The 18,733-nt window shown below is 32.4% G+C and overlaps 1 long non-coding RNA gene across 1 annotated transcript; it reads right to left on the bottom strand.

Moving 5' to 3' along the window:
* Positions 1-158: 158 nt before the first annotated feature.
* LOC100130964 (ADAM metallopeptidase domain 3A-like) lies at positions 159-17,181 on the bottom strand. The gene is made up of 5 exons (NR_046245.1): positions 17,167-17,181; positions 13,476-13,587; positions 6,885-7,049; positions 4,655-4,712; positions 159-328 (listed from the first exon to the last, which is right to left on the bottom strand). It is a non-coding gene; the product is annotated as an ADAM metallopeptidase domain 3A-like (long non-coding RNA).
* Positions 17,182-18,733: the final 1,552 nt, after the last annotated feature.

Raw genomic sequence — 18,733 nt, 5'->3', positions numbered from 1 at the left:
GGTGATTAAAAAGCTTTATTGCTCACACAAAGCCTGCTTGGTGGTGTCTTCACACGGATGCGCGTGACAACAGGTTTCTGGGTGAAAAAGAGCAAAAGTGGTTTTTTCCTACTTAAAGATTCATGGCAGGTAGAATAATAAATAGACACACGCTTGCATACTTCCTGTCATATAATTTATTTTGTTTGTGCAATTGAAAGCTTTAAGCCATAATGAAAGGAGAAAAAAGGCGATTTTTGTTTTCATTGTTGAATCAAGCCAGTTAATGGTAAGTTTCTTGGTAATATCCTTTCTCTATCTTATGGCTTTTGATGTTATCATGTAGTTACTGTTGTAAAAGAAATATAGAAAAATAGAAATGTTAAATTTTCGTTGTTAATAAAAGTTGTCTACTTTTATAATGCAACTACAGGTATAGCAATTAATTACTCAAATAAGACACTGCTTGCTATACTGTTGTATTAATAATTTGTGCCTGGTATTCAGGACATTCATAAAGCAAAGTTCCTTATTCATGAATAATTTGTGATAGCCACATTAAAAGTAAATGTTATAAATTGGTAGTCACACAGGTTTCATTAACATGGTCTCTAAATTTACATCAATAAATGGAAATCACCAACGAGAAAACAGAGGGGGAAAGAGCAATGCAAACCTGTGAAGAAATACAAAAGAGTTCCTATTAATTTCTCTATTATATATGTATCTGCAGAGGGAGAGAATTTTCCAAAGCCCTCAGTGTATTTCCAACAGGTTTCCACATATACACGTTCAAAACCATAATCATCATTCACTCCCCTCCACTTCCTCACCCCAACCTAAGACAGTTCTTTCCCTACTATACAGTATGTCATTGGTTATTGGGGGAACCCGCCCCCAATATTTCAACGTAGGTTCTTTCTATTTTCCATAAGTGTTGGCTGGCTGAGAAATAAAGAGAAAGAGTACAAAGAGGGGAATTTTACACCTGGGCCTCCAGGGGTGACATCACATATCGGTAGGACCATGATGCCCGCCTGAGTCTCAGACCAGCAAGTTTTTACTAAGGGTTTCAAAAGAGGAGGGGGTGTAAAACAGGGAGTAGGTACAAAGATCACATGATTCAAAGGGCAAAAAGCAGAACAAAGATCACATGCTTCTGAGGGAACAGGACAAAAGGCAAAACAGAACTACTGATAAGAGTCTATGTTCAGCTGTGCACGTATTGTCTTGATAAACGTCTTAAACAACAGAAAACAGGGTTCGAGAGCAGAGAACTGGTCTGACCACAAATTTACCAGGGCGGAGTTTTTCCCCACCCTAATAAGCCTGAGGGTACTGCAGGAGACCAGGGCGTATCTCAGTCCTTATCTCAACCACATAAGACAGACACTCCCAGAGCGGCCCTTTATAGACTGCAGCCCCCCTCCCCCCACCAGGACTGCATTCCTTTCCCAGGGTATTAATATTAACATTCCTTGCTAGGAAAAGAATTTAGTCATATCTCTCCTACTTACAAGTCCATTTATAGGCTCTCTGCAGGATAAAAAATATGGCTCTTTTTGCCAGACCCTGCAGGCAGTCAGACCTTACGGTTGTCTTCCCTTGTTCCCTAAAAATCACTGTTATTCTGTTCTTTTTCAAGGTGCACTGATTTCATATTGTTCAAACACACATGTTTTACAATCAATTTTTACAATTAACACAATTATCACAGTGGTCCTGAGGTGACACACATTCTCGGCTTATGAAGATAACAGGATTAAGAAATTAAAGTAAAGACAGGCATAAGAAATTATAAAGTATTATTTGGGAACTGATAAATGTCCATGAAATCTTCACCATTTATGTTCCTCTGCCATGGCTCCAGCCAGTCCCTCCATTCAGGGTCCCTGACTTCCTGCAACAATTGGTAAAAGGTGTCACTATCCATTCTGCCAGAAAAGTAGAGGTCTTTGTAGTTCTCTCTTTTATTCTAATCCAAATATATCCATTCAGTAACCAATCCAACAGATTCTGCCTCTGTCATATTCCTGAAAATATTTTTGTGCTTTTCCTCCTCTCTAATCCTGCCCTCATCACACCTTTCCTGTGCACTCAGTAGTCTCTTAGCTGCTTCACCAGTCTGCAGTTCTGACAGAATCCATTCTGCCTACTTTATCCCAATGAAATAGGTAAATGCAAAACATGTCATGCCAGATCTCTCTTACAACCTCAAAAATACTTTATGTTCTTGCTCATATAGAAAAACATTTAAAATCCTTATTGTGGCATACCAGTTACTTGTCTTGGCTCACTGTTACCTATTTTTTTTATATCTCAGTATTCATAGACTTGCAAATGACTTTTAAAAAGTATGAAGAGCCCACATTCTAGAAACAGGCCTAGTTTTACATTTTAGCCTTGCTGTTTTCCTGCTTTACATCAATAGACATATTATTTAAGCACTTTTTCTTACATTCTGCATCCAAACAGTCAATGCATTCTGCTGAGTCACCTTCAAATTTTATCCATAAGATTATCCTTACCACTCCTGGTTTGAAGTACTATCTTTTCTCTCATGTATTATTGCAGTATTTTCTCTACTTCTACTCTTGTGATCATACAGACAGTTTTCAACAAGTCGGCCTTTTAAAGAGTAAGGCCGTGTGGCTGGAATCTGAACTATTCAGTAATTCCTTCCTTTCACTCAAAGTAAAACAGAGACAGACTCCAAAAGCTCCAAGACCCTCCATGGTGTTACTTCTCTGATCTAACCACAACTATAGCCCTCTTAGTAACTCTGCTCCAGGTGGACTGACATCTTTGGTATTCTTCAAACATTCCCAACTTATTTTGTATCATATCATTCATGTGCTTGGAAATATACTGCCTAGATATATGCATGAGTAATTCTGCCAATTCCATGCCTCTGTAGGATAGATTTGATTTACAGCTAGAATGGAAAAACTCAATCTTTATCTCTAGGAAAGCCTGGGTATCTGGTTTTGACTTTTTGTTGAGAAAAAGGCATTGGGATTGTTAATGGGCTGTTTAAAATCTACATTAAGGAACCTTGGAGCCCCTTGTCTTTCTGACCCCCAATGCTTGCCTGCACTCTCTCTTGCTACACTGTACCCTTTGCGTTTAAATAAAAGCTTTTTGTGAGTTCATCCTTTGAACTCAGGTAACTCCTTTCAATGATTAAAACTGAGTAATTATTTCACCTCCTTCAGATTATTTGCTTACAAATCACTTGTGCTATAGGACTTATTGAGAGAAAAAATATGTAAAATTGTTATCCAATACTTTCCTCAACAGCAACTCCCCCACTCATCCTTACTGCTATAATCTTTTGTATATGATTAATAATGTTTCAATTTACTATATCATCAACTTATATGTCTATTATTTATGGACTGATAGCCTAACCCTCTATCTCAAATTATTGAGGCAAGACTTCAATGCAACCAGAAGGTACTGTTGGCAGAAGGAAGCTGTGAAAAGAGGAAAAAAGGAAAGCAAGATGTTGCATTTATGACTTATGAGTTGGAAGAAATCAGGGAAATGGTAAGCTCTAGGAGAAAATGGCTGTGGTTGGCCGATGGTGGTGGTAGGGAGTTCAGGTGAAGACACGCAGCAGGATGGTGAGATTCTGATTGAAGGACATGAGAAGAAGGCAGTAGCCAAGTGCCAGAATCCTCAGGTAAGACATGGGCTTCTAATAAAGTTTTTAAGGAGGATGTAGAGATTGGTCTAGGCATGAATAAAATTTTCACACTGAGGTTACTAGTTATAAAGGTTTTATTTGGTGGCAGATAAGGAAATAGAGACCCATGGACATAATTATTACTCAAAGTCTGATATGAAGGAATGGGAGATAAACAATTGGATGAAATCTTGATCTTGCTCTAGATTGAATTTTTGAACTTTTCAATTTACTGCCAGTGATAGGCCTAACATCAAACTTTATTATTTTTCTACACATATGAATTTGAATAGTACATACATATGCCTATTTCAAGCCATTTCATAGTAAATAATTAATTGTCTTTCTGCCTCAGAGGGAGAGTATACTTAGCATTTTGCTAAGCATCAACTAGGTCCTCAATCCATGTTTATTCTATTCCTTATCCCTAGCCACATATCAGGCTATATGTTTTAAGATTGTAAGCTTCTACTCTAGAGTTTGATTGCTTTAAGTTAAACGCCAATGCAAAACTCACTAAAACTCTATACATATGAAGAATTATTTAAATTCTTTACATCCATATTCTTATTTCTAAAATAAGGATAATAATACCAATGTAGTGTTATTAAGGAAAAAATGTAAATATAGGGAAACAATCTGTGTAAATCAATTAGATCTACCAATTTCTAAACACATTAGAATCTTAAATGAAGGAGCAGGAAATATGATTATTCATAAATATTCTAAGAATGTATGTAAAATAATTTGGAAGTCACTTCTTATTACAAAAATATTTTTTATAAATATCTGGCTAATATCAGTTACATTAAAATATTTCCAAATAAGCATAAAATAATAATAACATAAAATACTTTAGTCTTTGCTTAGCATATGATATTAAAATGTAGAAGTTCGGATGATAAAATATGGGAATAATAGCTTTCTCATACTAAGGTGTTGTTAAAAATTTTTAAATATGTATGTATTATGAATTATATCACTTACCTCTATGACTGGTTGCTGTCACTACTGCTGTTACTGTTGCTGCTACTACTGCTGTCTTCTGATGTAGAACCGTATAAAAGAGATTAACATTGGTTTTAGGGTTAATAGCCATTGTAAAATCAAGAAGCAAAATCTTAAGCAAAATCAAGAAGAGTAAAAAAGCTACATTTGTGATAGTTAATTAGTAGGTACCAATATCCACTTTGCTTTCCATATACCTCTCAGACAGCATATATTTTTGTGTTTGGCCTTTATCTAATGTTGGTCTAACTTTTAAAGGTTTTAAGACTTTTTTAAAAAATTTCAAACTAAAAATCTATTATTTTTTTCTATCCTGTCTACATGGAAGATGGAATGAGATACTAATATATCTATGATAATGCCTCTCCACAGTTAAAAAGATATATAAGTGCACATCTTCAAATTCTTACATTACCATTTACACAGTTACAGTATTTCTACTAATAACTATGTAAATAACTATTTGGACTATAATTTCTCTTTCATTAATGAGGCCCTTAATGAGGCCTCTGTGTCTTTCAGATACATTTAGTTTCATTTTGTGGTATTTATAAAGCCTCCGTTTTTTTCTTAAGATAAGTTTTGAACAACTAACTCAGAATTATAAATCCAGATAGAATACAGGATGAATTTAGGTGCCCTTGCACTGCTATTTTCTTCTGTCTCCAGAGAATATTAACTAAAAGACATTGACTAAGATTATTGTTATTTTGTTTGGAAGTGAATATAGAAAGGGTTGAGATAGAGGTATTGGGCCAAGTCAAAGCCAGAGCAGTCAATATAAAGAGAATAGACAGGGACAAGAAGGGGTAATGTCAATCAGTAATGGATGAAATGACTTAGTTCCTGGCCATCCAGTTCATTACTGTCTTTTGTGCTTCAACTCTAGTTAGTTTCTTACCCTTGCAGCCTTGAAACCACTTATGGTTGTAAAAGAGGCTGCTTGAACAGATTTTGTCATTTGTAACCATTAATCTCTTATTACAACATTTTTTCCATTACTCATATTTACTTATAGTAAATATTCACATATTTCCAAGATGTCTTAAGAGCAAAAGAAGACTTATGCTAGCTATCATTCAATTAAGTTAATTTATAACAATGTGATAATTATGTGTCTTCCAAAAAATCCAGAATATTACTCTGAAATTATTAGGTTGGTGCAAAAGTAATTACGGTTTTTGCAATTACTTTAAACTGCTAGCTACTGCTAACTTGTTGATACATAAAATTATCTAGCTTGCAAACAGAGGTGTTAGTAGAAATTCTATATCATTATTTAATCTTCATCTTCAACTGTGAGAAACAGAAATCCACTTATTATCCTTATTATCCGTATTCTTCTGTCCCTAAATATTTACTGAGTATGCAATGATGTTACAGCAAAGAAAATAACTGCAAAAACCTTTGTAATAATTTTAGAAACCATTGAAGAATATTAATTGTGCACAAAGTGCAGTTTCCTATCTACTTTCTCTCCCTCGTTTCCTGTTTTATTTTCTTACCTTCTACATATTCTATTCACAAAAGTTGCTTCCCCAACTGTCTCTATTGATATCCTTGATACAAATGACTGTCAATGCATGAAAAGTGGGGTTGTCTGGGAAATCCAAAGAACATCCTCAAACAATTTCAGCCAATATGGCTTTTATTTATTTATTTATTTTGGAGACGGAGTCTCACTCTGGAGTGCAGTGGCATGATCTCGGCTCACTGCAACCTCTGCCTGTGGTTCAAGCAATTCTCCTGCCTCAGCCTCCCAAGTAGCCGGGACTACAGGCATGTGCCACCACGCCCTTCTCATTTTTTGTATTTTTAAGACACAGGGTTTCATCATGCTGGCCACGCTGGTCTCAAACTCCTGACCTCGTGATCCACCCTCCTCGGTCTCCCAAAGTGCCGGCATTACAGGCATGAGCCACCATGCCCCGCCCCAATATGGGCTTTCTATTTGAAAGGCAATGAGGATTTAATGAGCAGCTTCAGTTGTTCCTTGCCCTGTAAGAATATGTAGAACACCTAACTGCCCAAAATCTGAAAAGAAACTTTGGTGTATAGTAAGACCTTCTTATTCAATATCTCATTCAGTTTTTCTAAACATTAACCCAATCCTTCTCAAAATTCCTATTTGTAATATTTAAATTTATACTCAAATTCTTCCCATAGTCCTTTTGTAAAATTAAATATACAAAATAACAAGTTTACTTACCTTCCACTTACACTTTTTGCTCAGTGTCAAAATCCCTTCATTTTGTTCCATTTAAGACCAATGATGGCAGTTAAAATGAGGAAAGGTAGAAAAATGTAGCAACTGATTAAAGGCCATTTTTCTGAGGAACAGCATGTCATTTCACAAACAAGGGTGTACTTTTTCCTGAAAACATGAGAGTGACTTTTACAAATATGATATTTAAAGCATACTGCTGATTTGAATTTTAAAATTTGAAATTCAAATACAGTTATAGAATAAATACATAAATTTGAATTTAAAAGTGTTTTCTAATCTTCTATAACTGTGCCCCAAAGTGCATTATATATTTATGTCAACTCAGTACACTTACACATATCTTTGGCAATATACAGCCATTGGCAATATACAATATTATTGACAAATTTAGTTTTAAACTTTTAGCTATATTTAATCTTTATTTACATGATATATTCTAATCTATCATATTCTAACATATTCCCTTCTGTGAACGGCTACATGTAACACATTAACTTAATATTATCTAATAAGGTGTTCTTCAGATTAAAAATGGAGCAAAAAAACTGTTTCAAAATAATTTTATAAAAAATTATTGACATATCTGAGGGTGAATCCTAAAAATTAATAAATGATAGTACTTAAATTGAAATAATGAATAAATAGAAATACACATGTTCATGTCTTCATGAATTAGAATTAATATTGCTTAAATGTCCATACTACCCAAAGTGATCTACAGATTCAATGAAATTTTTATAAAAATATCAATGCTATATTTCATATAAATAAAAATTTATAAAATTCATATGGAACCACAATATAAACATATATAGAAAAAGTAGAATGGTGGTTACCAGAGGCTAGGGGCGTAGCAAAAATGAGATGTTGGTCAAAGGATGCAAAGTTTTAGTTAGATAGGAGGATTAAATGATAAGTATTCAATAGGACTGATATGCTAATTAACTCGATTCAATCATTCCACATTGTATGTATACATATAACATATCATAACATGTCATGACATGTCATAACATCACTTCTTACCTCATAAGTATATACAATTATAAGTTGTTGGTTAAAATTACAAATATTTAAAAGTAAATTTTAAAGTAGAACTATATAAGCTGTTTCAAAAATAATTTTATGAAAAATTATTGACACACTTGGGAACTAATTTTAAAGTAAGTTAATGGCAAAATTTCTATGGAAAATTTCCACATTATTTGTATAATGTGACATTATTCTACTTTTGACTGTATTAATTAGAAAAATAGATATTCCTCTAACATAAAAATGAATAAGTATCAAGAGAATTAGAGAGGAAAAAAAATCTATGCAAAAATATCTATATAGTTAAATGAAAAAAATAAACCAGACAACTAAAATATCAATGTAATGAATTAAGCAATCAGTATTGCCACCAAAATATTATGACATTAAATGTAAATAAATTTAGTAACCATCAAAAAAGACAAGGAAACAGTAACTTTAAAACACATTTGCATGCATGCACACACACATACAGGCAGACAATCCAATGATATCTTGATTCAAAGTGATTTGTCTAAAGAAAAGTGATTCAGAATGTTTTATATAAGAAATGAATTGCAATGCAAAACTGTTGAAATTAAGCAAACATGCAGCAACCTTAAACTATGGTAGAGCTCAATGCTTTTAAGATTCTTCACTGCCTCATGTATGAGAAAAGTTTATTTCCATGCTATTTTGGCTATTGGAAATAATGCTGCTATGAAAATGGATGCAAAAATATCTGTCTGTGTCTCTGCTTTCAATACTTTTGGGTTTATATGTATATGCAAATTGCTGGCTAATATGGTAATTCTGTGCTTCTTTTTTTGAGGAACCACTAGAATATTTTCCACAAAGCCTGGATCACTTTACATACCATCAGTTATGTGCAAGGCTTTCCATTTTTCCACACTCTTGTCAACACAATTTTTTAAAATTTTTTTATACTAGCCATTTTAGTAGGTTAAAATTGTTATCTCATTATAGTTTTGACCTGCGTTTTTCTAAAGGTTAGTGATGGTAAATATATTTTCATGTACTCATTAGCCATCTATATATCTTCTTTCATGTACTCATTAGTCATCTATATATCTTCTTTCATGTACTCATTAGTGTTCTATATATCTTCTTTGAAGAAATGTCTGTATTCAAGTCCTTGGCCCATTTTTAACGGGTTTTATTGTTTTGAGCTGTAGGAATTTTTGACATATTCTGGATATTTATCAGATATATAATTTTCAAATATTTTCTCCCATTTCATATATTTCTTTTTTACTCAGTTGAATGTGTTCTTTAATGCACAATTCTTAATTATTAAACTCCAATTTATCTATTTTTTATTTTGTTTTCTATGGTTTTGATGTCATATACAAGAAATTATTTTCAAATCCAATGTCATGAAGATTTCCCCCTGTATTTTCTTCTGATATTTTTATAGTTTTAAAACTCACGTTTAGATCTTGAATCCATTGTGAGTTATTTTTTTGTGTATAGTACAAGCATGGGTACAATGTCATCCTTTTGCATGTGATTATCCAGTTTTCCCAACACAATTTTTTAAAAAGATTGTCCTTTCTCTATCAAATGGTCTTGTTGGTGTTGTTGAAAATTATTATACCATATACGAGAAAGGATTTATTCCTGGGATCCTTTTTTATTTCTTTGTAAATCTTTCATTTTCTTAATTTGTTTTCCAAAGTAATGTGTCAGTTTTCAAGAAGGTACAGAAGAGTCTTGAAGACAAATTGTCTATTTATTTTAGCTATTATTGAACACAAGTGAGAATTCAGATTTTTCTGTACTGCCCATAATAATTTTTAAAAATCAGTACAAGAAGACATTACACAATATGAATCAGACAAATCCAAAGAAACATAAAGCAAGACTCTAATCTGTAATGATAATTATCTTAGTCTGTTTAGGCTGCTATTACAAAAATATCACGGACTTGGTGGCTTATAAGCAACAGAATTGTGCTTCTCACAGTTCTGGAGCTAGGAAGTCCAAGATCAAGGTGCTAGGGACATTGTGTGGTCAGGGCCTGCTTCCTCATTCATAGATAGCCATCTTCTTGCTATAACCTCACTTGTGGAAAGGGTGAAGAATTTCACTGGGATCTCTTTTACAAGTGCACTAATCTCATCTCATTCATATTGAAATACAATAAAAATGTAGACTAAAAAGTTGATTTTCTATGTTTAAATTTCAATTTAAGATTTTATAAAGCTGGTTTTTGCTACTTTTATTCCTACTTCTCTAAATAATCTGTGATATGACTTTTAAAGGACACAAAATAAAGATTTAATGGGCCCCAGGTTAAAGATGACCTCTGAGGGTTATTTTCAGATAAAGTAGACTTCAAGACAAATATGAAGAAATACATTACAGAGGTAATAAAAGAAGCTATTCCACACGAAAACATTAAAATCCAATGAATGCAGCAATTAATGAAGATTCAAGATGGAATGAAAAATACAGTGAAATAACAAATACAGAAATAAATCCACAATCATGATTGGAGCTTTTAAAAACTTCTGTCTCAGTATTTGATAGAAGTAGAAAAGAATTATTTAGACCAATTATTCAGAAAGTACAAACTACTCAACTCAGCTAATATGAAATGGATGCTATGAATGGCTACATATGTATTAAGAAAATAAAGATGTGTTCTTAAAAATGCAAAGAGAGTGGATTTAAAATGTTCTCATGACCAAAATGATCAATATATGAGATGTTGTACATGATAAATATATGCAATTTTGTCTTTAAATTTAAAAATAATTGTTTTAAAAATTCAAAAACTCCCTGAAAAGAAATCTACTGGCCCATGAGAATTAACTGGAAAATGTTCTTTAAAAAGCAATACTGTCGATTTTAAGTAATATTGAATATAGAAGTAAATACTTCACATCTCATTTTGTGAGGCTAGTATTACTGATACCTAAACAAAATAAAGACAGTACAATGAAGAAAGAATGACAGATATAAACCATTATCTTAAAAAAAATACAAATATCCTCAACAAAGTATTAACAAGTCAAATTTAGTAATGTGCAATAAATAATAGATAATCAAAATAAATAATAAAAGCAATAATAAGAATATTATCTTTATAAAAATATAACTAACGATAAAATAATAGATTATAGACAAGAAGAATTTATTTTAGATAGTCAAGATTAGTTCAGTATCCAAAATTCATGTAATCCATTATGTCAACAGACAAAAAGGTAAAATCATATGATCCTAGCCATTGAAACTAAATACATTCATAAAACCCAATGCTATATATTAAAAAACTATCTCAGAAACTAGGTATTGAGAGAAATTTCCTCAAACTCATAAGGATTATCTCCAAACAAAACAAAGCAAAATCCCTACAGCTAGCATCAGACTTGATAGTAAAAGCCTGAATTATTCTCCTCCTAAAATCATTATTAAAGCTAGAATCTTTACTCTCACTTCAATTCTAGCCAATATAATAAGAAATAAAAGGGATTTATACTGAAAAAAACTATCTGTTTTTAAAAATAACATGATAGTCTACATAGAAATCTGAAGGTACTTAGAAAAAAACCTCAGAACTAAAAATGAATTCTATTATGTTGCAGAATCCAAGATCAACACCCAAAAATTAATTGCGTATCTGTATACTTACAGTGAACAAGTGAAAATTTAAAAAAAAAATCATTTATAATTGCTCTAAAGAAAATGAAGTACTCAATAATGAAACAACAAAACATGTATTTTTGAAAGTTACAATATTCTGATGAAAGAAATCTAAGAAGACCTATATAAATGGAGTGACATGGTTTGGCTCTGTGTCCCCAACCAAATCTTATCTCTAATTGTAATTCCCATGTGTGGAGGGAGGGACCTGGTAGGGTGATTGGATCATGGGGGTGGTTTCCCTCATGCTGTTCTCATGGTGGAGTTCTCATGAGATCTGGTTGCTTCATGAGTGTGTGGCTGTTTCCCCTTATCTCAATCTCTCTCTCTCTCTCTCTCTCTCTCTCTCTCTCTCTTCTCTCTCCTGCTGTCTTGAGAAGAAGGTGCCTGCTTCCCCATCATATCCATCATGATTGTAAGTTTTCTGAGGCCTCCCAAGCCATGTGAAACTGTGAGTCAACTAATTCTCTTTTGTTGGTAAATTACCCAGTCTCAGGTAGTATCTTTATAGCAGTGTGATAACAGACTAATGCAGGGAGATACATATGTCCATAAACCGGAAGATTCAATAATAGAAGAGAGGCAAATTCTTCCAAAAATGGTCTATAGGTTTAATACAATTTGTATCGAAATCACAGCAAGATATTTTATAAACATAGATAAGCTTATTCTGCTCATTCTAAAATACATATGAAAGGAGAAATTCTAAAATAGGCACAATGACTTTGAAGAACAAGTATTATTTTACAATGTTAAAAATTATGACATAGCTATAATAAGCAGTGTGGTACTGGTGGAGAAAATGACGCAAAGATCAAAAGATAAGAAGAGAGGATTAAGAAATACACCAACAGAAATCTATCCAATGTTTGGGACATAGGTGAGAGAAGAAATTCAATGGATGAGTAATAGCTTTTTCAAAAAATGCTGCTGGAAAACTTGGACATCCATAAATAAAAAAATTAGTGTTGTCTTAGTATCTCCCATCTTTCATAAAAATAACTCAAAATATATAATGAACCTAAATGAAAAATAAAGAACTATATTTTTTAGAAATATCATTGCAAAAAATCTTTAGAACTTAGGACAGGTAGAGAGTTCAATATAGCATGATCCTAAACTGGAAAAAAAAATGCCCTATCAAAATAAAACTTAAAAAATAATTAATCTGAAAAAATTAATTACAGACTTGAAGAAAATACGTGTGAAGCAACGTATTCTCAAAAAAATACTTGTATCTAGAAAATGTAAAATTTCTCAAAATGCAATATTAAAAAAACACAAACAATCCAATTTTACAAATGGGCAAAATATATGAATAGACTTTTCCCTGAAGAGAATATACAGATACCAAATAAACACAGTAAACATGTTTAACATCACTACATACTGAAGGAAGCACAATTAAAACGACAATAGATATTAATATACTCCTATTAGAATGGCTTAAAAAATAATGATACCATCTAATGTTAGTGAGAATGCCAAAAAATTGGGTCATTCATATATTATTGGTGGGAATGTCAAATGACACAGCCATTCTGGAAAATGGTTTGGCAGGTCCTTTGAAGTTTAAATAAATAGAAATGCTCTTGGGACCTCAGTTAATAATTAAGCTGAGGAAAGGATTCTTCAAATGTTGACTTCTGGATGAAAATTAAGAGTACAGAAAAGTTTGGTTGACAGTACAATCTAGAGCTGCACTATCCAATATACCAGCCACTAGCCACAAATGGTTATATAAATTTAAATTAAAGTAAAATACAGTTGAAATTTCAGTTCCTTGGTTGTACCATCCACGTCAGGTGCTCAATAGCCACATAGGACAGCAGAGATGTAGACCATTTCTTTGAGAGCAGAAACCTCTATTGGAACATAGATCTAGAGACTAACCTAAAATCCAAAACCCATCATCAATACTTCCTCCTGGTGATGAACTATCTTGCCTACAAGTTTGAGGAGAATATGCAACATCACGTTGACAATTATTCAGAGTATTGCAAACCTAAAACCAAAAGCAAATAAAATAAGAGCATTATATATATACAACATAAAAATTAAATTATTTGTGACAGTTAATGTAAATTATAATATAATTTTATAATATATAAAATATAATATATAATTAATTGTATACAATATAAATTATTTATAAGTATTTTATAATTTATATTTATAATACAATTTGATTTATTATAATAATATAGTATATTTTATTATAAGTTTTTATTTTCATGTGAAAAAATATTAATATGATAAATATTCATGCAATACCTAAGTATCATAAAGGTTTCCTCTTGTCTCTTATATTTTTTTCCCCTTGCTCTCTTGCCCAGGCTGGAGTACAGTGGCATAATCTTGGCTCACTACAACCTCCATCTCCTGGGTTCAAGCGATTCTCATGCCTCAGCCTCCCGAGTAGCTGGGATTACAGGCAGCACCACCTTGCCTGGCTAATTTTTGTCTTTTTAGTAGAGATGGGGTTTCATCATGTTGGCCAGGTTGGTCTCGAACTCTTGACCTCAGGTGATTCACCTGCCTCGGCCTCCCAAAGTGCTGGGATTACAGAAGTGAGCCACCACAAAATGCAAGGGCTTGTCTCTTGCATTTTTAAATAAAACTAGATAACATTCTTGATACGATTGAAATGCCTTATGCTAGAAAGGCATAGAAATTATGAAGCTAGAAACTATGTTGTGATTGAAGTAAAAATGTATTCTGAATTGTGATAGGTTTAAGTAAAATAGCTGCAATCAGAGCCAACTTTTATGAAAACAAACAAGCAAACAAAAACAAAGGGCAAGTGTGCTTTCGGATACAGATATCAACATTTATATGTAAAACTAAAAAATATTTCAAATGTGATGTAGTGGATGAATAAGAAAATGATCACCTCCCTAGTTAGCTGTATCCCTAGGTATTTTATTCTTTTTGTGGCAACTGTGAATGGGAGTTCACTTCTGATTTGACCCTCAGCTTGACTGTTGTTGTTGTATAGGAATGTTAGTAATTTTTCCTACCGATTTTGTATCCTGAGACTTTGCTGAAGTTGTTTATTATTTTAAGAAGCTTTTGGGCTGAGACTATAGGGTTTTCTAGATATAGGATCATGTCCTCTGCAAAAAGGGACAATTTGACTCCGTGTCTTCCTATTTGAATGCTCTTTATTTCATTCTCTTGCCTAAATGCACTGGCCAGAACTTTCAAAATTACATTGAATGTGAGTGGTGAGAGAGGGCAACCTTGTCTTGTGACAGTTTTCAAGGGGAATGCTTCCAGCTTTTGCCCATTTAGTATGATGTTGTCTGTGTGTTTGTTATAGATGGCTCTTATTATGAGGTATGTTCCTTCAATACCTAGTTTATTGAGTGTTTTTAACATGAATGGATGTTGAATTTTATCAAAAGCCTTTTCTGCATCTATTGAGATAATCATGTGTTTTTGTCTTTAGCTCTGTTTATGTGATGAATCACATTTATTTATTTGTGTATGTTGAACCAGCCTTGCATCCAGACATAAAGCCTAGATGATCATGGTGGATAAGGTTTTTGATTTGCTGCTGGATTCGGTTTGCCAGTATTTTCTTGAGGATTTTTTCATTGATGAACATCAAGGAATCACAATTGTCAAGGAATAAAATACTTAGGAATATAGCTAGCTAGTGAGATGAAAGATCTCTACAAGGAGAATTACAAACCGCTGCTCAAATAAATCAGATGTGACACAAACAAATGGAAAAACATTCCATGCTCATGAATAGGAAGAATCAATATTGCAAAAATGGCCATACTGCCCAAAGCAATTTCCAAATTCAATGTTATTCCTATTAAACTACCATCGAGACTCTTCACAGAACTAGAAAAAAAACTATTTTAAAATTCATATGAAACCAAAAAAGAGCCCAAACATCCAAGGCAATCCTAAGCAAAAAGAACAAAGCTGGAAGCATCACACTACCTGAATTCAAACTATACTACAGAGCTATAGTAACCAAAACAGCATAGTACTGGTACAAAAACGGACACATAGACCAAGGGACAACATGGAGAATTCAGGAATAAGACTGCACACCTACAACTATACACCATGGAATACTATGAAGCCATAAAAAAGAACAATGCCATCTCCTTTGCAGGGACAAATACCACATGTTCTCACTTATAAGTGGGAGCAAATGATGAGACTACATGGACACATAAAGGGGAAAAATACGTAGTGGGGCCTATTGGAGGATGGAGGGTTGGAGAAGGGAGAGGATCAGGAAAAATAACTAATGTGTACTAGGCTTAATACCTGGGGATGAAATAATCTATGTAACAAACCCCAAAGACACAAGTTTACCTATGTTAACAAACTTGTGCATGCAACCTTGAACTTAAAAGGTGAAAAAAAAAAAAACAGAAAAAGAAAACAATCAGTGGCAGAATTGGGAACCCAGAAATAGGCTTATGAAAAAATTAAGTAACAAAGTAAATTAAAATTAAATAATAAAGAATAAGAAAAGAAACTCTAAGTAATAGGATATATAAGTAATTTAGGAGAAAATTCTGATCTAAGACATGCAGATAGGTCACTTTTTTCTGAATATATACATATAAATATATATACATATATAAATATGAAATACCTATATAAATATGAAATGCAAGTATGGAAGAAGACACTGGTCCCAAAGTGCAAGCCAAATGCATTCTGAAGAACTCAATTATTAGTTATCAAATAAATTCAAATTAACAATTGATTTAGCATGTTTAGAACGTATTTAACAGACTGATAAATTAGTCTGGCCAGAATATATTGAAGTGTATATTTCTGTATATGATACGTGGCAAAAAAAAAAAAACAGTCATGATATTTCTTGAAGATAATGATACTTATGAATATTTAAGTGGTGCATATATTTGGATCATCACATTTCATTGCTAATAACTTAAACTATCAGATAAATGTGCAAAGGTCATTGTACAACAATGTATCTTGTACTACTATTTGCAATAGTTACATTAAAATTTAACATTATCCAAAAGACCAACAGTAAATGATTTTTCAGATTCATTGACTTTTCAAGATCCATACAGGGAAATAAAGTCTTTAAAGGGTTTAACAGATGAACAGGAAACCCTACTCCCACAAAAAAACTTAGATTATAAGCAATGTGTATAAGATAAATACATTAAGTGTATGAGTGTTTATAAATATATTTGTATACACATACACTCAATTATGAGTAATGTGTATGTGTATATATAAATATATGTGTGTAATCCTTATTAAATCCATTTTCAAAATTCTAAAGCTAACATTATAGTAATCTGACTCTAACATTATAATAAAGAATTATGTTTACTTTTGTATTTTTGTACAAGGTTCAAACCTTATTTGCTTCTCAGGCCTGTAACAGTTTGATTGTAAATATAAATCACATATATATGTTAAAATAGTAGAATATGTTACCTTTATTTAGCTGCAATTTTCTAAAAGAAATTTTTACATCAGAAAATTCTCTAGCTTATTATTTTCCTTGAAAATGTTATTGATAAGGATTAAAATAACTTTATTTGAAAATAGGGTAACTGTTACATACCCCATGTCCACCGCATTTTTCTTCCCAGTTACCTTGTCTTCTATCTGCATATGTGCTCACAAGTTGGCAAACTCCATTATCACATAACTAAAATGTTAAAGTAACCAATAACAAGAAAAAATTTTAAACGCAAAGTCAAGAGTTGAGCAACTGTATTTTGTACAAGAACTATATTCATAAGATATAAACACAAACATAAATTTGGATTTGATGACTTTTGTTCATTGTAGTAATAGAACCTGAAGTCACTATCAAAATGATATGTTATTACTTTATAACTTTATAGAAAAATTAAGCAATGAAGTAAATTAAAATTAAATTACTTTATAAAATATTAAATATATTTATAAAATATTGAATATCATATTTACTTATAGTCCTGTGTATAAGAATGAGTAAAAGAAAGGCAGTTAATGTTATTTTTTAAATTCACTGGCTAGCTTATTAGTTTGAAAAACTCTCTGTTGATGATCTCATCAATATGCCCGAAGCATATTCCTTTTCAGTTATCAAATGATTATACTTAGATGTTCTTATCTCTCCTAGCTAATATACATGGACTAGGATCAGTTTGATAACCTCTTCTCCTGTTTAAGTTTTATAAATAACAAATTCAAAGGCACTTTGTATCACAACCAGTATTAAGCAAATTTGCCTTGCTGGAAATGCCTATTTCCATGTAGTATACTGTTGACTTAGTATATTACTATGTTAAATCTATGAGTGTTTTATTTATAATCTTTATTCAAATTAATAAGATATATGTATATTGATACTGACAAATAAGAAATAAAGTACATCTGTCTAAAGTCATATAGGTATAGATAGATGTAGATGTGGATATATGTTAAAGTGCATCTATCTTTTCATATAGGTATGTATGGATAGAGGTAAATATAAATATATGTTAAATTTAATTTTTACAAAGGACCCACATTTCATGAAGGTGAGGTAAAGAAGTCTCTACTTTCTTATCTCTCTGAAATCGTTTGAACAATGTTGAACAACAAATGAAAACAAAGCACACCTTTGATGAATTTTTAAAATAGCCAGAGAATTCCAATTTGAATTGACAGAGCTGGTGAACACAAAAGCCCTCTTTTTCCAATAAAAGAGAATAAAGGAGAATCAAAAAGACGCAATTGGAAGAAGAGAGATGTAAGAACTTCCTGGAATACCGAAATAAAAAGGAAGATCAACAATGGATAAAATGAAGTGGGAAAGCAACCATATCAAAGACAGTGGCAAAGAGGAGCCTGGTTGATTAGCCTGGCAATGCTTTGAAGAGCTGCAGCCTCAAGATTATAAGGAAAAACTGAGGGAGAAGAGCTGAAAGGACAGGAAGGGGAGGGATGGCTAAGATGTGGACTTATCCACAGAAGTCTGTACACAAAACTTACTTTGCTCTCAACATCCAATACTCACTTTTCCCTCTCCCTCTCAATGACTGAATGCAGTTCACACAGCACTTTTATCCCAAAGATTTAGAAGGGTATTTTGTTTCCTAAAGCAACTAGACTCATAAGACTGTGGAATTCAGGCTTCTAGAGTGTTCTGTCCTCTAGAA

This window comes from Homo sapiens, chromosome 8 (assembly GCF_000001405.40).
Source record: "Homo sapiens chromosome 8, GRCh38.p14 Primary Assembly".
Lineage (NCBI taxonomy): Eukaryota > Metazoa > Chordata > Mammalia > Primates > Hominidae > Homo > Homo sapiens.
This window is presented reverse-complemented; position numbering and strand designations above follow the sequence as displayed.